At 51.7% G+C, this 22,841-nt stretch overlaps 1 long non-coding RNA gene across 7 annotated transcripts, besides 7 other annotated features; it reads left to right on the plus strand.

Moving 5' to 3' along the window:
- Positions 1,879-1,948: an enhancer, noted in NCBI's record as "active region_10419". NCBI's record gives its function as "activates an Ori minimal core promoter by ATAC-STARR-seq in GM12878 lymphoblastoid cells {active_cell/tissue: GM12878}" and the evidence as "EXISTENCE:reporter gene assay evidence [ECO:0000049][PMID:35858748]".
- Positions 3,676-4,270: an enhancer, noted in NCBI's record as "H3K4me1 hESC enhancer chr16:11304646-11305240 (GRCh37/hg19 assembly coordinates)". NCBI's record gives its function as "activates a minimal SCP1, AML or CMV promoter by ChIP-STARR-seq in primed H9 embryonic stem cells {active_cell/tissue: H9 hESC(primed)}" and the evidence as "EXISTENCE:reporter gene assay evidence [ECO:0000049][PMID:30033119]".
- LOC107984859 (uncharacterized) lies at positions 3,822-17,851 on the plus strand. 7 transcript variants are annotated; one of them, XR_001752080.2, is made up of 5 exons: positions 3,822-4,352; positions 4,564-4,690; positions 6,004-6,162; positions 16,988-17,011; positions 17,109-17,851. It is a non-coding gene; the product is annotated as an uncharacterized LOC107984859 (long non-coding RNA). The 7 variants fall into 7 exon arrangements; XR_005647017.2 differs by having other exon boundaries at positions 3,822-4,690; XR_007064984.1 differs by lacking the exon at positions 6,004-6,162 and having other exon boundaries at positions 4,539-4,690.
- Positions 5,743-6,002: an enhancer, noted in NCBI's record as "active region_10420". NCBI's record gives its function as "activates an Ori minimal core promoter by ATAC-STARR-seq in GM12878 lymphoblastoid cells {active_cell/tissue: GM12878}" and the evidence as "EXISTENCE:reporter gene assay evidence [ECO:0000049][PMID:35858748]".
- Positions 6,193-6,242: an enhancer, noted in NCBI's record as "active region_10421". NCBI's record gives its function as "activates an Ori minimal core promoter by ATAC-STARR-seq in GM12878 lymphoblastoid cells {active_cell/tissue: GM12878}" and the evidence as "EXISTENCE:reporter gene assay evidence [ECO:0000049][PMID:35858748]".
- Positions 17,342-17,391: an enhancer, noted in NCBI's record as "active region_10422". NCBI's record gives its function as "activates an Ori minimal core promoter by ATAC-STARR-seq in GM12878 lymphoblastoid cells {active_cell/tissue: GM12878}" and the evidence as "EXISTENCE:reporter gene assay evidence [ECO:0000049][PMID:35858748]".
- Positions 17,872-17,951: an enhancer, noted in NCBI's record as "active region_10423". NCBI's record gives its function as "activates an Ori minimal core promoter by ATAC-STARR-seq in GM12878 lymphoblastoid cells {active_cell/tissue: GM12878}" and the evidence as "EXISTENCE:reporter gene assay evidence [ECO:0000049][PMID:35858748]".
- Positions 18,382-18,941: an enhancer, noted in NCBI's record as "active region_10424". NCBI's record gives its function as "activates an Ori minimal core promoter by ATAC-STARR-seq in GM12878 lymphoblastoid cells {active_cell/tissue: GM12878}" and the evidence as "EXISTENCE:reporter gene assay evidence [ECO:0000049][PMID:35858748]".

Here is a 22,841-nt window from a genome sequence, read left to right on the forward strand (position 1 = left end):
GCAGCCTCTGCCTCCTGGGTTCAAGCAATTCTTGTGCCTCAGCGTCCCAAGTAGCTGGGATTACAGGCATGTACACCACGCTCAGCTAATTTTTGTATTTTTAGTAGAGATGGGGTCTCGCCATGTTGGCCAGGTTGGTCTCGAACTCCTGACCTTGTGATCCGCCCACCTTGGCCTCCCAGACTGCTAGGATTACAGTTGTGAGCCACTGCACAAGGCCTAACACCTTTGTTTCTATAATTCCTATTTTTTCTCCAACACTCAGCAGTGTCACCTCCAGGAAGCCTTCCCAGATGCCCGCAGCTGGACCAGGTGCCTCCTCTAGGCTCCCTGCATGTCCCCATCACAGCATGTATCACACTGGGCTGTCCTCATGATTTTAGTGCCTGTCTCCTCCACTGCATGGGAGACTCATCACGGAAGCTTGCACAGAGAAGGAGGCAGAGATGTGGAAATGCCCATGGGTGCAAGACACACGCAGGAAGTCGAACCTGTGGACTTGGGGTGCAGCAGAGGGCTGTGTCAAGGACTGAGTGACCAGATATTCGACTGTGCCTCTCCTGAGATGGGGAATGCTGAGGTTTGGGGAGGCACAGAGCCTTAGTCTATGAGCCCTAACTCTCTGAACTCCCACCCCAGAGTTAGGAAACTCCTCCCACATAGGACAATGGGCAAGTAGAGCCCGCCTTCCATGGGAGGAGCCCAAATAGTCCACACCCACTTTCCCTGCCTCCCTTGCAGCTAGGGCATGGCATGTGACTGGACTCTGCCAATCAGAGGCACCTGCTCTGGAGTTTGAATTGGAGGCTTGTCCTGTCCAGGACTCTTTCTGGGGGGAGCCTGGGCCACATGGAGTTCCTGGCAGCTGTGAAGAAGGAGGACTTCACCAGGCTGGCTCTGTGGTAGGAATAGGGGTGACGTCTTGCCTCCCCTTTTCCATGGGATCCTCCTGCCTTCCTGGGAGTTTTGCATACCCCAATATCTGTTTAATACCTTTTCTTCTGCTTGAATGAGCCACATTTGGATTCTGTCACTTGTCACTAAGAATCCTGGAGGCCCCTCTTGGGGGCAACCACTCGGACCAACCTTGAAGGAGGAGCCCATGTTGATGGGAAGGACAGCAAGTGCATTCGGGGTGTGGGAAACAGCTGACCAGGGTCAAGGTCAGGCTTCCGGGACACGACAGGGAGTGTTGGGGATGATGGCTCATCTGGGTCAGATTGTGGGGTTCGGTGGGGACCTGTTGGCAGGGGGTAGATCCAAGGCAGCTGATCCTGAATGCCAGGGCGAGAGCAAGCTTGGATGCCAGCCTGCGGGCAGTGGGACCCAGTGACATACTGTAAGTGGAGGTGGGACGTGGTCAGATTTGGGTTCCAGAAAGCTCAGTCTGCTGCTAGGAGGAAAAGCTAGACCAGATGGGGCAAGACTGGGAGAGTAGGGGACCAGGCAAAAGACTACGGCAATGGTCCCAGCAGACAGTCCTGGAGGCCAGAAAGAAGATCAAGGCAGTGGCAATGAGCAAGGGCAGACCTGGGATTCAGTGTGACTGGCCCTGGGGAGCCATTGAAGGCTTGGGTGACCTACCATGATCGTAAGAAAGTGGGGTTGAGCTGAGCATGGTGGCTGATGCCTGTAATCCTGGTACTTCGGGAGGCTGAGGTGGAAGGATCGCTTGAGCCCAGGAGTTTGAGACCAGCCTGGGCAACATAATGAGACCCTGTCTCTACAAAAGCTAAAATATTAGCTGGGTGTGGTGGTGTATACACCTGTAGTCCCAGCTACTCAGGAGGCTGAGGCAGGTGAATCCCGTGAGCCCAGGAGTTCGAGGCTGCAGTGAGCCAAGGCTGTGCTGCTGTGCTCTAGCCTGGGCAACAGAGTGAAAGCCTGTCTCTAAAAAAAAAAAAAAAAAAGAGGAAGTGAGGTTGGAATTTCATGACTGCCTGGACATGTCACTTGCCTCACACTTGGACAGCCCTGATTCGTTCTCAGGGTTTCCCCACCAGGGCCGACTTTGTGCCCTTGCCTCCCAGCTAAGCTGACCCAGACTTGCAGATGTGATTCAGAAATGGAAAACAGGGCTGGGCTGAGTGGCTCACGCCTGCAATCCCAACAATTTGGGAGGCCAAGGCAGGGAGATCTCCTGAGGTCAGGAGTTTGAGACCAGCCTGGCCAACATGGTGAAACCCCCATCTCTACTAAAAATACAATAATTAGCTTGGCATGGTGGCGGGTGCCTATAGTCCCAGCTACTCAGGCTGAGGCAAGAAGATTGCTTGAGCCCGGGAGGCATAGGTTGCAGTGAGCCAAGATCACTGCTGCATTCCAGCCTGGGCAACAGAGCAAGACTCATCTCAAAAAAAAAAAAAAGGAATAGAAAGCAGGTCTGTCAACTCCATACCACTGCCAAGCACGCCCCTCGGGCCATGGGTTCCAAAGGAGAGGCACAGCCAGGGCCACCTCTGTCTAGACAGAAAGAAGGACTCAGATGGGACAGCTGGGGTCTGGAGGAAAAGTCAACAGGACTGGGAAAATGGGGAAAGGAGACACAGGGCACCCGGCCACCTCCTGCCAGCCCGGGAGTTCCCTGGGCAAGGAGCTTGGCCACAGGAAGCAGTGGATGGATGCTGCTTCAGGGGCTCACCCCTGCACCCCAAACAGCACCAGCCTCATCCCCCAGAGTCCCCTGAACCTCATCCCTCGGGCGCAGAAGAATATCCTGAAACCGTCCTGTGGGGTCATTTTAGGGATGAAAACTTGGGACACAGAGTTGCACAAGGTACTTGATTTTCTTCTTCCTCCAAATCACACAATTTAAAAGCTGAGTGAGGGGCCCAGGGCTCCAGTGGGCTCTGTCTTTGTCTGCTTCCTCGCCTCACCGCGTTTCATTTCCTCCTCCGTAAATGGGGAACACAAGCTGGGTGCAGTGGCTCATGCCTGTAATCCCAGCACTTTGGGAGGCCGAGGTGGGTAGATCACTTAAGGTAAGGAGTTCAAGACCAGCCTGGCCAATATGGTGAAACCCCATCTCTACTAAAAATACAAAACTTAGCCAGGTGTAGTGGTGGGCACCTGTAATCCCAACTACTCAGGAGGCTGAGGCAGGAGTATCGCTTGAACCCAGGAGGCGGAGGTTGCAGTGAGCAGAGATCGCGCCACTGCACTCCAGCCTGGGTGACAGAGGGAGACTCCGTTTCAAAAAAAAAAAATGGGGAACACACACGGCCTTCAGCAGAGAGCCTGGAAGATGGTAAGCAGCTCTTTGGTACACCCCCTGTGTATTCCTTCCTCCCCTCGTGCCCACAACAGCTCCGCTGGGAAGCCGCCATCCTCTGAGAAGACATTTTAGCAACAGAGGAGGCCATTTTGCTTTGAGAATCAGAACCAAACCCTGCAAGGCCAGGACAGGGAAAGTCTCAGGCAAGTCACGACTGTGGCCAGGGCTTGCTGAACACAGGAGGGCAGGGGGCTGGTGGCGGGGGCAGGCGGCCTCTGCATGGCTTTAAGAGGAAGCAGAGATGGGGGCGTCATGGCTGTGCTGGGGATGACACCCTCTCCCTCTAGCTGGGTGGCCTTGGGCAGGGCCTTTCCCTCTCCAAGCTTTTGAGTCCTCAGCCTGCAATGGTGGACTCCAGCCCCCCTCACACCACCTTGCAGGTGAGTGAGGAAACCCAGCACCAGCACCTGGGTGTGCAGCGTGGGAGATGTTTTAGGGATTCCACCCCTTCTTGGAGCTTTTCTATTTAAAACAATTTTTTTTAACTTTTTGTAGAGATGGGGGTCTCACTGTGTTGCCCAGGCTGTTCTTGAACTCCTTGAAGTTCAAGTGATCCTCCCACCATAGCCTCTCAAAATGTTAGGATTACAGGCGGGAGCCACCGTGCCCAGCCCCTTCTAGGATCATGTAGTGCTTCCTGGGTCCTTTTCCTCTTTATTCTCCCTCCCCCTGCACCCCAGAACTGATGTGGGGCTGATCTGACCTTACTGACAGGGTGGGAGCCCGGGTGCCCTTCCTACCCTCCCCAAGGGGCTCTACGACCCTCCAGGACAGTCTTTGCCCAGGTGCCCTGAGGGCTCCTGGAAGCAGCAGTGAGATGCACTCTGGAGTAGATGGCTCCCTCTCTCGGCCTCCAGCCTTCGAGTCCACTGACATGCAGCCACAGCCATTCCCGGCTCCACACTTGGCCCTTCAGCAAGGCCTCCTCACCACATCCTGAGCCTGTTCATCCCCTCCTCCCTGAGGCCACCGCCCGGGTCCACACCTCCTCATCTCCCACCTGGACCATCCATGGCAGAAACCTCCCATCTGGTCTCCTGGCCCCTCCTCGATGATCCCAACTCTGCCCACACCACAGGTGATCTCCTGATCTCCTCTGGCGTGAATCACACTGCTCTGCCCCCCAGCCCACCTGGCTTGCTGTCAGTGCAGGGTCTAGGCCCCTCACCCCTCCTTTACCCCCATCTCCCAGCCCCTCCCCAGTGTTCCAGCCCCACTGGCCTTCCTTTGCATCTCCCATGGTTGTGCCCCGCTCCTGCCCCAGGACCTTCGCACATGCTGTCCCTCAGCCCTGCAAGAACCATCTGCTGGAGCCGAGCAGAGGCTGCCTCCTTTGAACGGGACCTGTACCCTCCACTCCCCTACCGCTGCACCACACCAATCCATCATCACACTTATGATGTCATCTTCTCAGAGGTGAGGTGCATTTCTCAACTGCTGTCTCCATCAAACAGGTATCTGGGGAGGGCTATGGGCTTGCAGTGGCCACCCTGGTTTCATTCATTCATGGCACCTCCCTGTGCCTGGGGGCGGCTGAGTCTGTGACCACTAAGGGCTGGGGGAGCCCACCGGAGGGCAGGTGGTTAGAGTGACTAGATTGGCATTTAGAAAATCGGCTTGATCTAGAAAATTGGCTCAGATAGGCATTAGAAAGTCCCTCTGCTCCTGGGTAGGTAGTAGTTAATGGAGCTGCAGGGAGTTTAGTTGGGAAGCTCCTGGGTGTCCTGGTGACAGATAAGGGCGGCTGTGGGAAGGGAGAGAAGCAAATGTTTTCCAGAAATAGAGGTCAAATGGAGAGCATTCAGCTGCTGTCGCAGGCGCTGCCCAAACTCCTCCCAGATTCCTCCCCTAGCCCCCATCCCTTTACCCCTCCCCCCAGGGAACTTTCTCTGCCAGCAGCAGCTACCTACATTTTCTAGTCAGGCGCCATCTTTTGCTGCTGGAACCAGCTTTGCCTGCAACCCCTGGAGAGGCAGAAGCTCCCAGGAATTCACGCACTGCCCAGAGGGCAGAAGGGGGGGATCCCTTAACCAATCACATGCGGTGGGCATAAAATTCCAGCTCCCTTGCCCCTGATCAGGACTCCTACGGGGTGACCCAGCACCATGTCATGGTCACCAAACCCCTGTCTAGGGTCAGCTTCTAGGGAACATGCACTAAGGACGGTGACTTCAGATTTGGGGGCTGAGAGAAGAAGAAGGAAAGGCGTTTGCACAAGGTTTTGACTTGTGCAAGGGTGGCCAGTCCCGAGACGGGACGCATCAGACAGGGATCCCTGACTCAGATCGAGGGATGGCTTCAGGGTGCAGTTTCCTTGAGGACAAGTGGTTATATCAGTTTCGTGTTGCCAAAAATCATCAGGGCAGCGACCAAGCTGAGCACAGATGCAGTCCACTGTCCAGAAGAAAGGCCCCCAACATCTCAGCGCCGTCCCCCTCCCTGCCGTGGGGCGGAGCCGGCCAGCATTTTCCTGGCCTGGGCCAGGCGCAGCTAAGGCTGAGACATCTGCACAGGGCAGAAAGGGCCAGATCAGGCCCTTCCTGGCAAGCGCCTCCCAGGGGACAATGTCAGTCCCAGAAAGCGTGAGTCATGAGCAGGGGACCCCCACATCCCTGGCCAGGACAGGAGGTGCCTCCGCAGGGACTTGCCCCAAAGGGGCACCATCTCCAGTCATCCTCAGAGTCAGGCAGGCTTGCCAACCTGTCCTTTCATCTCTGTCTTGCTCCCAGGCAACCCGTAAACCCCTCGGGGCCCAGAGGCCACGCCTCACTCGACAGCTCGGGAGAGCCGGGCACAGGGGCAGAAGCGACTTGCCGAGGTCATGCAGTGACATGGAGCCACAGCCTGGCTTCCTGACACCCCTTCTGCCTTACCAGGCTGATGCACAGGTTTGCCATGTGGGAATTCCCCAGGCCCACCCTGCTGCCATGCCCTGGTACCCTGTAATCTGGAGGCATGTGGGTGCCTGTCACCCAAGCACCCTTTCTGGCACAGCAGGAGGAGAGAGCCAAGCACCCAGGGCAGCCCCCAACCTCAGGGATCCCCAGCTCCTCCTGTACCCCTTGACCCTCCCACTCCTCCAGGGGCTGCCTCATGGTTGGTGGGTCCCTGTCCTGCCCTGTCCTAGTGTGGGTCCTTCAGGGATGGCTGGAACGCAGGGCTGTGTGGCACCCAGCACACACCCGGGGCCCTGGGAGAGGGTGCGCCTCTTCCTTCTGGAGTGTGAGCTGCCTCCTGCTCTGCACTTGCCCATCAGGCCAGGTGGTGGGGGAAGGGGCGCAGGCGTGGATTTCCCTGCAGTCAGGGCTGCCCTCCCACCATACTGCATGGGGAGAGATGAGGGGTAGGGGTGCTGGGTGCACAGGTGGAGTCTCCCTTTCTCTCTTTGGTGCCTTCATAACCCCTTGCCCACCTTCTATCCTGGGAAGCTTTGTTCCCCGTGGGCCACCTACTCCAGCCCACCTCCTCGGGTGGCGACAGTGGGCTCAGTGTGTTCCTCCCTTCTCCTTGCCCAAGACAGGATCTTTGGCCCTTATTAATAAAAACAACCAAATCTGGCTGGTGCAGTGGCTCACACCTGTAATCCCAGCACTTTGGGAGGTCAAGGGAGGAGGATCACTTGAGGCCAGGAATTCGAGACCAGCCTGGACAACATAGCGGGACTCTGTCTCTACAAAAAAAATTAAAAATTAGCCAAGCATGGTGGCGTGCTTCTAGCTACTTGGGAGGGTGAAGCAGGAGGGGATGCTTGAGCCCAGGAGTTTGAGGCAGAAGTGAGCTACGATTGTGCCACTGCACTCCAGATGAGGGAGACCCTATCTCAAAAAAAAAAAAAAAAAAAGTACAATAATAACAGTCAAATCTATTAAGTGTTTACCTCATGCCTGGCGTATAGCTGAACACGTGGCCCATATGACTTTATCCATGATCCCTGTTTTTCAGGTAGGAAATGGAAGCTCAGAGAGGTTAAGTGGCCCACCCCTAGCGCACAGCTAGTATATGATGGGGCTTCTACGTACCTCTCAGCCCTGGGCCTACCTTATTCTTCATAAACCCATGGAGGTTGCAGGTCTAGCCAACATATACACACAGGAAGCTTCTGGCAGCTTGAGAACTACTTGTGACATGAATAATCACAGCTGCTACTTAGTAGGGGCTGCCTGAAAACAGCACTTTGGGCCGGGCGCGGTGGCTCACGCCTGTAATCCCAGCACTTTGGGAGGCCGAGGCGGGCGGATCACGAGGTCAGGAGATCGAGACCATCCTGGCTAACACGGTGAAACCCCGTCACTACTAAAAAATACCAAAAAATTAGCCGGGCGTGCTGGCGGGTGCCTGTAGTCCCAGCTACGCAGAATACTGAAGCAGGAGAATCACTTGAACCCAGGAGGCGGAGCTTGCAGTGAGCCAAGATCACACCATTGCACTCCAGCCTGGGCGACAGAGCGAGACTCCGTCTCAAACAAAACAAAACAAAACAAAACAAAAAACCAGCACTTTGTTTTTATTTATTGATTTGACATTTAGTTCAATTTTAAGAAAAGATGGTTCAAAATGCAAAAGAGATAAGAGGGTCTCTTTCCCTGCTGGCCCCTGTCGTCCCCCAGCCACCCCAGTTCCCTTTCTGATACCAGTTTCCTCAATTCCTTCCAGAAATACTTTTTATTTTTGAGATGGAGTCTCGCTCTGTCGCCAGGCTGGAGTGCAGTGGCACGATCTCGGCTCACTGCAACCTCCGCCTCCCAGGTTCAAGCGATTCTCCTGCCTCAGCCTCCTGAGTAACTGGGACTACAGGCATGTGCCACCACACCCAGCTAATTTAGTAGAGATGGGGTTTCACCATGTTGGCCAGGATGGTCTCGAACTCCTGACCTCGTGATCTGCCCGCCTTGGCCTCCCAAAGTCCTGGGATTACAGGCATGAGCCCCCACGCCAAGCCGTTTTTTTTTGTTTGTTTGTTTTTTTGTTTGTTTTGTTTTGTTTTGAGACGGAGTTTTGCTCTTGTCGCCCAGGCTGGAGTGTAGTGGTGTGGTCTTGGCTCACTGCAACCTCTACCCCTCGAGCTCACATGATTCTCCTGCCTCAGCCTCCCAAGTAGCTGGGATTACAGGCGCCTGCCACCATGCCCAGCTAATTTTGTATTTTCAATAGAGATGGAGTTTCCCCATGTTGGACAAGCTGGTGTCAATCTCCTGACCTCAGGTGATCCGCCCACCTCAGCCTCCCAAAGTGCTGGGATTACAGGCATGAGCCACCAGGCCCGGCCTCCTTCCAGAAATACTTAATACATTTACTCAAATGTTAGACTATTGTACTGATATGATTTGGATCTATGTCCCCACCCAAATGTCAGGTTGAATTGTAACCCCCGATGTTGGAGGTGGGGCCTGGTGGGAGGTGATTGTATCAAGGGAGTGGATTTCTCATGAGTGGTTTAGCACCGTCCCTCTTGGTACTATCCCTGTGATAGTGAGTGAGTTCTCATGAGATCTGGTCATTTACCAGCGTATAGCACCTCCCCCATCTCTTCTTGCTCCTGCTCCCGCCATGTGACATGCCTGCCCCCTCTTTGCCTTCTGCCATGATTGGAAGTTTCCTGAGGCCTCTCCAGAAGCTGAGCAGAGGCCAGCGCCATGCTCCCTGTACAGCCTGCAGAACTGTGAACCAACTAAACCTCTTTTCTTTATGAATTACTCAGTCTTTAGTATTTCTTTATAGCAATGTCAGAATGGACGAATCCATGTACATACTGTATTCATTATCTATTGCTATTGCTGCATAGCAAGTTAGGCCCAAAATTTGGCAGCTTGAAATATGAATAAACCTTTTTTATCTCACAGTTTCTGAGGGGCAGGAATTTGGGAGCAACTCAGCTGGGTGATTCTGGCTCAGTGTCACGTGAGGCTGTGGTCAAGCAGTTGGCCAGGGCTGCTGTCATCTGAAGGCTCAACTGGGGCTGGAGGCTCTACTTTCTGGATGGCTCATTATGTGGCTTTTGGCAGGAGGTCTCAGCTCCTCACCACATAGATGTCTCAATAGGGCTGCTTGAGTGTCCTCACAACATGGCAGCTGGCTTCTGTCAGGGCAAGTGGTCCAAGACAGGACAGAGTGGAAGCTGCAATATTATTTATGACCTAGCCTTGGAAGACATGTTTCCACTGTATCCTCCTAATTACACAGCCTTAGTTAATGTGGGAGAGGACAACATTAGGCCCCAAGAGGTGAGAATCATTGTGGGTCATCTGGAGGCTGCCTAGCACACACAGTGTCCTGCACCTTGCCTTTTTTCACTGCACAATAGCATTCAGAATGGTTCTATATCAATATACACAGAATAACCTTGTTTGTTTTTTATTTATTTATTTATTTATTCATTTATATGAGCTAGGGTCTCACTCTGTCACCCAGGCTGGAGTACAGTGGCACGATCACAACTCACTGCAGCCTCAACCTCCCAGACTCAAGCGATCCTCCCACCTCAGCCTCCCAAGTAGCTGGGACTACAGGTGCATACCACCATGCCTGGCTAATTATTTTCAAAAAATGTTTTGTAGAGATGGGGCCCCACTATATTGCCCAGGCTGGTCTCGACCTCCTGAGCCCAAGTGCTCCTCCTGTCTCAGCCTCCCAAAAAATATTGGGATTCCAGGCGTGAGCCACTGCACCCAGCCTATTTTTTAAACTGCATAGTATTCCACTGTGTGGGAACATCATGATGTATTTACCCAGCCCACTATTGATGGACCTTTGGGTTTTTCCTGATCATTTGCTGTTACCATCAGGGCTGCAGTGACCATCTGATTTGCAGAGGCATTATTTCCCGTATCTGATGGGGTGATACTCTGGGATGGACTGGCCTAGTCGAAAGGGGTGGTGCTTTGAAAACACAGCTGTGAAGTCTTTGCCACTTCTTGGATTAAGAAGTGGGGTCTACGCCAGGTGTTACACCAACACTTTGGGAGGTCGAGGCAGGTGGGTTGCTTGAGCTTAGGAGTTTGAGACTAGCCTGGGCCACATGGTGAAGCCCCATCTCTACCAAAAATACAAAAATTAGCTGGTCGTGGTGGCACATACCTGCAGTCCTAGCTACTCAGGAGGCTGAGGTGGGAGGATCATTTAAACCCAGGAGAAGGAAGTTGCAGTGAGCTAAGATCATGTCACTGCACTCCAGCCTGGGTGAGCCAGACCCTGTCAAAAAAAAAAAAAAAAAAAAAGAAGAAAAAAGAAAGAAAGAAAGAAAAAGAAAAAAGGAAATGGAATCTATATCTCCTCCCCTTGAAACTGAGTGGGCTTTTGATGAATTCAACCAGGAGAGTATTACAGAAGTAATGCCGTGGGATGTCTGAGACTTGGTCATAAAAGGTCATACAGTTCCATCTTGTTTGCTGGAAGACTTGTTCTTGGAGCCTTTACCTGCAACTTAAGAGGTCTGACTCCTTCAGGCTGCCATGCTGAAAGGAAGACCAAGACACTTGAAGAGGCCACATGTCAGCACATCAGTCACTGTCCCCAGTGATGGTGACACCCACCCTTCAAGTCATGCCAACAAAGCCACCAGACATGTGAGTGAAGTAGTCTCCAGACATTTTGAGTGACCCCCTCCCCAGCTGAGGCCTTAGTCTTCATGGAACAGAAATAAACCATAAAAAACTAGAATAAAGGATATGAGCAATTTTTTTTAATGTATAGCAAGCATTTATACACTTTAGCTCATTTAATTCTCCCAAGAATCTTGCAGGGCAAGTATTATCAACCCCATTTTACAGAGAAGAGGAACAGAGCTCAGAGAGGTTCAGCAACTTGCCCAAGGCATCACAGCAGGTGACTGAAAGACCTGGATGCTAACTTGGGTCTTTCTGGCTCCAGACCCACCCTCCTACATGGGTTGCTTGCTGAAAGAGGGAAACAACTCATTGTGTCGAACTTTCCAGCTCAGCCATAAGAAATTTCTAGACCCAAAGAATACACTGAAATAGATCAGAAGTTCCATGCCTGGGTCCTCTGGGAGCTATTTTTGGCAAAAACCGCTGGAAAACTGTGCATCCATTCTTCCTGCCAGTGTTGTGTAGGCAGGGAGGAATGTGTAAACTCTCCACTGTTGCTGAGAATTCTGTTCATTGAGGATCTCAACTGGCCAGATGGTCTTACAGTTAACTACCCTGCTGGTTAACAAACAAATGAAGCTATTACTCCCTTTAGTAGGAGGAGACCTTTCTTTTAAATTTAAATTTACTTTTGCTTTCTGATCCAACTGAGGAACAAGTTAGGAGGAAAGCTTTCTAAACATGAAATTCTGCCAGAGCACTTGCCACCGAATGGGTTTCTCCCTACTGGTGATAAGTGGTATTGCAACTCAGCTCTATTAGACAAAAGGGAGGTGAGAGACACATGTACATGGGGCAATCTCTGGAGCTGGAGACAATTTCAAGGGAAGGCTCAACTAAGAGACAGTGTCACAGAATGATTACACTTGAGTCTCAGGAGTCACAGGATCTGGGTTCAAATCCCTGCCTTGGTGCATGTCCATTAGGGTCCACTCAGGGAAACAGAAACCACATCAGGTATTTCAAACAGAGGGAAATGGATACATGAATGATGAGACTACCAGAGATGAGCATCAGCAGGAAGCCAGTACCACCCGGAGTGCAAGAGGGAAAACCGGAGGACCCTGTATTACCAGAGCCCAGGAGCTGGGGCCATCTGAAATGCAGGAATGGCAACTGAACCATTCCAAAGGCTAGACTTTGCCAGGGATGCTGGAGCCACAAAGAAGTCCCTGCTGCTGCAAATATGCCACTTGAAGCAGAGAGAGGGAGAAATACCATGTTTATCCCTTCCTCTCACTCTTCAGCCTCCCGCCAGGCTTCCCATTTGTTTAACTCAGTAGAGAGTCAATTGGCAAGGAGGCCTAGGATATGTTGCTTCTCACCATACAGAGTTGAGCAAGAGGACAGATATGAAAGCAAAGAGGCAAATGCAGCCTCTCTCTGTAAATGCAACATTGAGCAAGAGCCTTAGACCGAGTGACTTCCTGCTCTGGGCCTCAACTTCCTCCTCTGCAAAATGGGGATAACATCCTATCTTGGACCGGACCCATCATGATGACAGTCAAGAGAGATAATCCAGAGAAGGCTGCCAGTACCCAGGCTGACACGGGGTAACAAGCACTACAGACTTGGTGGGGCTGTTGGTGGAACATCCCCAGCCCCCCAGAAGTCACCAGTGCTGCCCACTGGGGGATATTTTCCATAGGACCCTTCTTAGATTTTAATACAGGAGGGAGCAGGAATGGGGGAATTAGCTTTGAAGTAATGTCCCCTTGCCTGTCACTGCCTTTTTTTTTTTTTCTTTTTTTTGAGACGGAGTCTCACTCTGTCGCCCTGGCTGGAGTGCAGTGGCATGATCTCAGCTCACTGCAACCTCCGCCTCTGAAGTTCAAGCGATTCTCCTGCCTCAGCCTCCTGAATAGCTAGGATAACAGGGGTGCACCACCACGCCTGGCTAATTTTTGTATTTTTAATAGAGATGGGGTTTCGCCATGTTGGCCAGGCTGGTCTTGAACTCCTGACCTCAAGTGATCCTCCTAACTTAACCTCCCAAAGTGCTGGGATTACAGGCATGAGCCACTGCACCCAGCCTGCCACTGCCTTTTGTATAGAAGTGTTCCAGACTAGTTTGTGCTTTCTAAAGGCTGAGTGTAAGGGAATGTGTGGTGTATGTTCATAGTAGGTGTGTGATAACATGTGAATATATGCATGCGGGGTATTTGTGCGAGTGTGGAAGTGTGTAAGCGTGTGTGTGAGAATGCATGGCATATGTATATTGTATAAGAGTGTGTGGTGTATGAGATGTATGGTGTGTGTTTGCGAGGGTGTAATGTGTTTGGGCGTAGCATGTGTGTGAATGCATTTGTGTGAGTGTGTGTATGCTTGAGTGTGTATGGGTGTGTGGTGAGTGTGAGAGGGGCTGCAGGATGAGAGTCGGATTCTCCATCTATGCTTCTCATATAGAGCTCCAGAAGGTCCTTTTGAGAAATCCCCAAACCACAGCCTGCTGGGCCCTGTGTCAGGGCAGAGTCGGGGCCGGGGTCCAGGTGGGCTGAGGTTTTTCAACTCGAGACTAAGCTCCTTCTGCTGGGTGTGTGACCTTGGCAGCCCATGAGACCCCTTCTTCTGTGCTTCAGTTTCTGTTCGGTGTTTTGTTTTGTTTTGTTTTGTTTTGTTTTGTTTTGTTTTGTTTTGTTTTTGAGATAGGATTTCATTCTGTTGCCCAGGCTGGAGTGCAGTGGCACAATCATAACTCACTGCAGCCTTGACCTCCTGGGCTCAAGCCATCCTTTTGCCTCAGCCTCCTGAGTAGCTGGGACTAAGGGTGCACAACAGCTAATTTTAAAAATTATTTTTAGTAGAGACGGAGTCTCACTATGTTGCCCAGGCTGGTCTCCAACTCCTGGGCTCAGGTGATCCTCCCACCTCAGACTGACAAAGTGCTGGGATTACAGGCATAAGCCACCATGCCCTGCCTGTGCCTTGGTAAATGGGGGTAAAATGGGGGGTAATCACTGGACTTCCTAGGATGGTTGTGATGTGAGTGCTTGGCCCAGGGCTTGGGGTGGTGGAAGGCATTAGCCACCTATTATTATCAACTCTGGCTATTTATGTTGCTATTTTCTCTCATCATTATATTTACTTCATCTAAAGAAGTGACAGTGGCCCTCAAGAGGAGGATGAAAATCAGCAGGGCTGGCCGTACGGAGTGTTGTTCAGGATGGGGAAGCCCAGCGACTCTCAGGTGCCACTATGGGCAATGGAAGTCATTCAACCCATCTGAAATATGAACGGTGTCCACAAAAGCTAACCATACACATACCCTATACCCAGCAATCCCAGTCCTGGGCAAAAACCTGGAGAAACGAGGCACCTGCCCACCACAGGCCTGCACATGCAGCATGGCTCAGGATAGCCCCCAAGGGGAGACAAATCCAATGTCCACCAACAGGGTCATGGAGAAATAAAGTGTGAAAGAGGAGCCGGGCGCAGTGGCTCACGCCTGTAATCCCAGCACTTTGGGAGGCTAAGACAGGGGGATCACTTGAGGCCAGGAGTTCGAGACCAGCCTGGCCAACATGGGGAAACCCTGTCTCTACTAAAAATACAAAAATTAGCCAGGTGTGGTGGCGGGTGCCTGTAATCCCAGCTACTCAGGCGGCTGAGGCAGGAGAATCACTTGAACCCGGGAGGTGGAGGCTGCAGTGAGCTGAGATTGCACCACTGCACTCCAGCCTGGGTGATGACAGAGTGAGACTCCTTCTCAATAAAAAAGTAAAATACAATAAAAATAAAGTGTGAAACAGCCATGCAGTGGAATACCACTCAGCAATGCAAAAGAACAAACTCCTGCCGTACACGATGTGAATGAAACTCACAGACATGGCGTTGAGGGAATGAGATGAGCTAGAAAACATCCCCACTGTCCACTTTCACTCATCTGAAGCAACAGGCTAAACTCATCAATAGTGTCAAAAGTCAGAGGAGGGGCTGCCTCTGGCCAGGAGGTGGGGAGGGTCTGAGGGACCGTGCTAGAGACGCCCTGGACCTCAGTCTGGGTGGTGCCTCTGTGGGCATAAAACTATGTCAGAACTCACCAAGTTGGACACTCAGATGCGTGCATGTAAGTGATTGTGTTTTCCCTTGATAAACACTTTTTTATGACACAGAGTCTCCCTCTGTCACCCAGACTGGAATGCAGTGGCACCATCGTAGGCCACTGCAGCCTCAAACTCCTGTGCTCAAACGATCCTCCAACCTCAGCCTCCCTGGTAGCTGGGACTACAGGCATGCACCACCATACCTGGTTAATTTTTGTATTTTTAGTAGAAACAGGGTCTTGCTATATTACCCAGGTTGGTCTGAAACTCCTAGACTCAAGCGACCCTCCTGCCTTGGCCTCCCAAAGTGCTGGGATTACAGGCATGAGCCCCTGTACCCAGCCGATAAACACTTTTTGAAGTCCTTTTTTTTTTTTTTAAAGTAATGAATGGATTGTAGGAATCATGGTAATAAAAGACTGATTCATGCTACATAAAGTGGATGAACTTGAAAATATGTTGAGTGAAAGAAGTCAGACACAAAAGGCCACTTACTGTATGATTCCATTTATATGAAATGTCCAGAATAGGCAAATCCACAGAAGAAGAAAGTGGATTAGGGTTGGCCGGGCACGGTGGCTCACGCCTGTAATCCCAGCACTTTGGGAGGCCAAGGCGGGTGGATCACAAGGTCAGGAGATCGAGACCATCCTGGCTAACACGGTGAAACCCCGTCTCTACTAAAAAATACAAAAAATTAGCCGGGCGTGGTGACGGGCCCCTTTAGTCCCAGCTACTCGGGAGGCTGAGGCAGGAGAATGGCGTGAACCTGGGAGATGGAGCTTGCAGTGAGCTGAGACGGCGCCACTGCATTCCAGCCTGGGCGACAAAGCGAGAATCTGTCTCAAAAAAAGAAAGAGAGAGAGAGAGAGAAGGAAGGAAGGAAGGAAGGAAGGAATTAAGGAAGGAAGGAAAGAAGGAAGGAAGGAAGAAAGAAAGAAAGAAAGAAAGAAACAAAGAAAAGAAAGAAAGAAAGAAAAGAAAAAGAAAGAAAAGAAAGAAAGGAAAGAAAGAAAGAAAAAGAAAGAAAGAAAGAAAGGAAAGAAAAAGAAAGAAAGAGAAAAAGAAAGAAAGAAAGAAAGAAAGAAAGAAAGAAAGAAAGAAAGAAAGAAAGAAAGAAAGAAAGAAAGAAAGATAGATTAGGGTTTACCAGGGGCTGGGACAAGGGCGGTTGGGCGGGTGACTGCTATGAATATGGGGTTGTATTTTAGGGTGGGGAAAACATTCTGGAACTAGACTGATGGTTATATAACACTGTGAACGTACTAAATGCTACCTAACTGTACTTTAAATTGGTGATTTTTATGTGATGTGTATTTTACCACCTTTTTCTTTCTTTCTTTCTTTTTTGGAGACAGATTCTCACTCTGTCACCCAGACTTAAGTGCAGTGGCATGATCTCAGCTCACTGCAACCTCTGCCTCCCAGGTTCAAGCTATTTTCATGCCTCAGCCTCCCGAGTAGCTGGAATTACAGGTGTGTGCCACCACACCCAGCTAATTATTGTATTTTTAGTAGAGATGGGGTTTCACCACGTTGACTAGGCTGGTCTCAAACTCCTGACCTGAAGCAATTCTTCCACCTCAGCCTTGCGAAATTCTAGGATTACAGGCATGAGCCACTGTGCCTAGATGCCACCATTTGTTTTAAAGTAATTAATGGGGCTGGGTGCAGTGGCTCATGCCTGTAATCCCAGCACTTTGGGAGGCCGAAGCGGGCAGATCACCTGAGGTCAGGAGTTCGAGACCAGCCTGGCCAACATGGTGAAACCCCATCTCTACTAAAAATACAAAAATTAGCCAGGCGTGTTGGCATGCACCTGTAATTTCAGCTACTCGGGAGGCTGAGGCAGGAGAATGGTTTGAACCCTGGAGGTGGAGGTTGCAGTGAGCCAAGATGACGCCACTGCACTCCAGCCTGGGGGACAGGTGAGACTCCATCTCAGGAAAATAAATAAATAAAAATAAATAAATAAAGTAATTAATGGTAAAACAAAAAAAGTTGAACTTTGCTCTGAATCTTCACAGTATGCCTACATGTGGTGCCCTATTTTCTCTGTTTTGCAGGTGGGGAAGCTGAGGCCCAGAGAGGTGAGTGGCATGTCCGAAGCAGCCCAGCGCAGGGTGCGAGGTAGGCAGGGCTGGGCCCCCGGGCCTTCCCTGTGAACCATCTGCCCGCCGGTTGCAGGAGGCAGTTCCTGGAAAGCAAGCGGGCCGAGTTCCTCACAGAGATCAGAAGAGCAACAAGATCTCCAGGCCAGGGCAGAGGTCCCCGCCCTGGATGCTGGTGACACTTCCCCTGGGCGGGAGGGGCTGGGAGCATGCAGATCTCAGCCCTGAACAGCCTGTCCTCTCGCCTCGAGGTTCTTGGTAGGCTGGGAACAGCCTGTCCTGCTGAGCTTCCTGTCACCTCTCTAGCTGCCCACACGCCGCACAGCTGCCACCGCCGGCCCTGGCCCGGGAGAGGGGGGTCTCTGGGGATCTTAGCAGGCCATGGTGGGGGTGTCTTGGGGCCAGCCTGAACTGAAAGACCATCACAGCTTGCAAGCCACCTCCCTGCTCTGTTGCTGGCTCTCCTTGAAGACAAGTGTTTTTCAATTAACCAAAGCGGTGCATGGCAATGTGATAGGGGAATGAAACACAGCAACAGAATCAATGCCCCACGCTGGGCAATAGCCGACTTTCTGTTCGCTCCCATCCCTTCCTTCCCTCCCCGCCTCCTTCCCCTGCTCCTTCCATTCCACAAACATTTATTGAGCACCCGCTGTGTGCCAGCCACTGTTCTAGGCCCTGAAGACACAGAAGTGAACAAAAAAAAAGAGTCCCTGTGCACATCCTGGAGGGACTTTCCCCGTGTGTGTGTGTGTGTGTGTGTGTGTGTGTCTATACAGTGTATGGAGACAGTGGATAATAAAAGCTGTTTATGAGGCACTTTCTCTGAGCTGTTCCATGTGCTTCACTTATACTCATTCAGCTAATCCTCAGGACACCCCCGTGAAGTCAGTGATATTAGTCACAGAGGCCCAGAGAAGTGAAGTGACTTGCCCAAGGTCACACAGCCAGCAAGAGGCCAAGCCCGGATTGAACCCCAGCCGCCTGGCTCTGGAGCCTGCAGCATAACCACAGCAGGGAACTGCCACCGGAGACAGACATCGACAGCCACTAGGAGATGTTAACCAACAGGCTTGTCTTCACGGCACGGCCCCCGCTTCACCAGCTGCACTGTTTGATGAGCTTTGCAGGTCCCAGATCTTATAAGCTCATGGTGATTGATCCAAATGATGCAGAGGTCGGCCTAAAGTTAGAAGTGGGCCCCTCTCTGCCCCAAGACAGCCCTTCACCCCAATTCCATTCCCACAGTTTGGGCATCCACCCAGGCTGCCAAGCCAAGCGGGGGCTGCCCGGGTTAGCAGGGACCTGGCCATGGGCCTCCTCAGCTAGGGGCCGCCTCTCTGAGGAGTGGGTGCCCCGCCCCTCCGTGGGCCGCCTGGTTTCTCTTATTGGCAGCGTCTGTAGTCCCCTGGCTCTGTCACCCGCAGCTATTCTAGGCCTCTGGTTCCTTTCACTTTCTGCTCTGCGTCTTCCTGCCTCGGTGGTTCCCCACCATCCAGCCTGAGACCTCCCCGTTGCCCGCCCTGGGTTTCTGTCTGCTCCTCTCCGTGGTGGCCGGCCCTGGCTCTGCCCCAAAGCCATGGAGAAGGCCAAATGCAGGCTGTAGAAAGGTCTGGGATCAGATCCCCCCATCCTTCCATGGCCACGTGACCGGGCCCGCCTCTTCCCTCTGAGCCTCACATCCTCATCTGAAGAGGGAATGCTGCTCATGCCCACCTTGCGGGGATGTGGGGAGGGGGTGCTGCCAGTGGAGACTCCCAGGGGACCCTCCAGGAGTCTCATCCTGACTCGAGACTGGGCACCTGGTGGGGGCACAGGCCCCCTCTCCCGCCATGGGACCGCCACATCCAGGCTCTCGTGGGTTGAGATGCTGAGGAAAGGAAAGAACAAAACCTGCTGGAGGAGCAGCGAACACGGCCCTCAGCTGGGTGACCTTGGGCAAGTCACTTCCCCTCTCTGGGCCTCAGTTTCCATATCTGTGAATGAGGCAGCTGGACTGAAGAATAGAGAGTCACAAAGCAGAGTGACACAAACTGGGCTACAGGAAACCCTGGAGGCCCTCGACCCAGGCTGGGGCCGGGGATGGTTCTGCAAAGCCTCTTGGGAGAGGGTTGCCTGAGCTGAGTCTCCAAACAGAACAGTGGCCTTAAGTCACGGGAGATGAGCCAGAGCAGTCCAGAGGGCACGGTCAGCACATGCTAAGGTCCTGGGGCACAGAGTACAGGGCTTGAGAAGGGTTCCTCTTGCTCCATGTGACTTTCATCATCCAACAGCCTGTGGTGGCACTTGCCTGTATCCCAGCTATCTAGGAGGCTGAGGTGGGAGGATTGCTTGAGTCTGAGAGGTCGGGCTTGTTCTCCCGGTGTTGGCAGAGTCCAGAGGGAGCAAGTGGAAGCCACAGGTGTCTTGAGGCCTAGGCTGAGATCTAGCACATCACCGCGTCACTTCATCCCTTCATTTCATCCTATTGGCCAAAGCAGCCCAATTCTAGGGATGGGGATCTAGACTCAACTTCTTGATGGGAGAAGTAGCAAAGTCACACTGCCAAGGGCAGGGACACAGGGAGGGATGAAGAGTTAGGAATGGTTTTTCTTTTTCTTTTCTTTCTTTCTTTTTTTTTTTTTTTTTTTTGAAACAGTCTTGCTTTGTCACCCAGGCTGGAGTGCATTGTCGTAAGCTCACTGCAACCTCCACCTCCCGGGTTCAATCTATTCTCCTTCCTCAGCCTCCCAAGTAGCTGGGACTACGGGTGCCTGCCACCACGCCTGGCTAATTTTTGTATTTTTAGTAGAGGCAGGGTTTCACCATGTTGGCCAGGCTGGTCTCGAACTTCTGTCTTCAAATGAATTGCTCACCACAGCCTTCCAAAGTGTTGAGATTACAGGCGTGAGCCACTGCGCCTGGCAGGGCTGGTTTTTCAATCACTCTGATGAACTCCCCAACAATCATCCCTTGTCAATTAAGTTCCAGGCCAATCAAGGTGGCTCACACCTGTAATCCCAACACTTTGGGAGGCTGAGACGGGAGGACGTCTTGAGCCCAGGAGTTTGAGACCAGCCTGGACATCATGGTGAGACCCTGTCTCTACAAAAAATAAAAAATTAACCGGGTGTGGTGGTGCTTCCCTGTATCCCAGCTATCTGGGAGGCTGAGGTGGGAGGATTGCTTGAGTCTGAGAGGTCGAGGCTGCAGTGAACTGTGATCACTCTAATGTACTCCAGCCTGGGAGACAGAGTGAGACCCTGTCTCAAAAAAAACTTCCAGTTCCTGGTCACTGACTTTCTTTTCTTTTTTTTTTTTTTTTTTTTGAGACAGAGTTTTGCTCTTGTTGCCCAGGCTGGAGTGCAATGGCGCGATCTCGGCTCACCGCAACCTCCGCCTCCCAGGTTCAAGCAATTCTCCCGCCTCAGCCTCCTGAGTAGCTGGGATTACAGGCAGGCACCACCATGCCTGGCTAATTTTTTTTGTATTTTTAGTAGAGACGGGATTTCTCCATGTTGGTCAGGCTGGTCTTGAACTCCTGACCTCAGGTGATCCGCCCACCTCGGCCTCCCAAAGTGCTGGGATTACAGGTGTGAGCCACCGCGCCCGGCTAGGTCACTGACTTTCAACAATGGGCAGGTAACTCAATTCTGGCCAATGAGACATGAAGAAAGCTTTCCTTGCTCCTAAGGGAAGCCCCAGGGAGAGACATGGTTTTCTGTTCTTCCTGATGTGGTGGCTGAAACTTCACTGGCCCTCTTAGGACTGACCTCAGATAAAACCAACAGCGAGATATCAGCTGAAAGATGGAAGGAAAATGAACTTGGATTTCCTATTGAACAAGATATTACATGTCCAGATTCTTCCTTTTTTTTTTTTTTTAAGAGATGGGGTCTTGTTCTATCATCCAGGCTGGAGTGCAGTGGTGTGATCATAGCTCACTATAGCCTCGATCTCCTGTCCTCAAGTAATCCTCCCACTCTGGCCTCCCAAAGCACTAGGATTACGGATGTGAGCCACCACACCTGGCCCATTTCCAGATCCTTTTTAAAAAAATATTTTTTAAAGTAGAGACACGGTCTCACTATGTTGCCTAGGCTGGTCTTGAACTCCTGGCCTCAACGATCCTCCTGCCTAAACCTCCCAAAGTGCTGGGATTACAGGTGTGAGCCGCACATGCTTGGCCCATTTCCAGATTCTTTAAGCCGGTTTACATCAGGATTCCTTTTACTTGACCCCGAAGACATCCTTAATGATGCCTCTGGTTATTTTGGTCTTTGTGAGCCGTGTCTGCCTGACTGTGCCAGGTCAGAGCTTGAGAGCTCCAGGCTTTTCTCCCAATGATGTTGGAGGGTCCCAGGTGCAGCCCCAAGCTTCTGCCCTTCATATACAGGGACCTCCCGTCTGCCCACTGTACCAAGGCCTCTCAGCCCCCACGGCCAAACCAGCAGTCACGATCCTGGATTCAGGAGACAGACCTGGGTTCTGGTGAATTGGACTCCACCCTTTGTCACTGTGCAACATCAGGTAAGTCTTCTAACCTCTCTTAGCCGTAGGTGGCTCTTCCACAAAACGAAGTAGTCAAACCTACATTTGCATGGTTCATACTTCATGACAGCACATTGAAAATGTTGAAAAATCTCTCTCTGGCAATTAAAATTTGCATCTCTGGGTTTTCATGGTTTCCAATGTGCTTCTTAGTCTCTCAATAATAACAACAGCAGCAACAGTAATAGTAACAGCCAGCAATTAGGGAGCACCTGCTCCGCGCCAGGCACACTGCAGATGGTCGTGCATGCACCATCTCATTTAAAATCTTCTGTGCTCAGGACACTCCCGTCCTACTCTGCCTCAAAGCCTCGCTCCTTTCCAGGACCCATGGTCTGTGCGTGATCTGATTCTACTCCTCACCTCTCCATCCTCACCTCTGACTTCTCACCCCTCACGCATGCTGCAGCAGCCACACTGACCTTTCTTTGAACACACTGGGAACAGTCCTACCTCAGGCCCTTGGCACCTGCTCTTCCACCTGCCTGAAAGGCTCTACGTCCAGATGGGCAGCTTGCTCATCCCTTCCAGCTCCCAGCTTCTTGGAGAAGGCTTCCCTAGCCATCATAATAAAATACCAACCCACACCTGGCACCTCCTAGCCACACCCCACCCGCCACTGCCTGCTTTACTTTACTTCCCTCTGACATACTGATTTTTTGTTTGTTAGTTTTTTGCTTTTGCTTGTTTTGTTTTTGAGACAGGTTCTTGCTCCATCACCCAGGCTGGAGTGCAGTGGCATGATCTTGGCTCACTGCAGCCTCAGCCTCTCCAACTCAAGCAATCCTCCCACCTCAGCTTCCAGAGTAGTTGGGACCACAGGCGCACACCACCACACCCAGCTAATTTTTAAAATAATTTTTGTACAAACGGAGCCTTGCTGTGTTACCCAGGTTGGTCTCAAACTCCTGGGCTCAAGCAATCCTCCCACCTCCACCTCCCAAGTGCTGGGATGATGGGGGTGAGCCTCCGTGCCCAGCCCACGTACTGTTTAACAGGTTTGTTGGCTAGAGTTTGCCTCTCTCCCTGCTAGACCATACGTTCCTCAAGGGCAGAGGATTTGGTCTGTTTTATTCACTGCCAACAGCCCAGAGCCAGGAAGAATGCCTGTCATATAATAAATGTTCAGTGAATGTTTGTTGAATAAATGAACAATGTATATGCCCCTATAGGATAAATGCCAGTGTTATTCCCATTTTTCAGCTGCGACGCAAGAGCTCAAGAAGTGAACTGGCTCCCATTGGCACGGCAGAAGGAGCCGTGGTGGGACTCTGATGTG

Source organism: Homo sapiens, chromosome 16 (genome assembly GCF_000001405.40).
Source record: "Homo sapiens chromosome 16, GRCh38.p14 Primary Assembly".
NCBI lineage: Eukaryota > Metazoa > Chordata > Mammalia > Primates > Hominidae > Homo > Homo sapiens.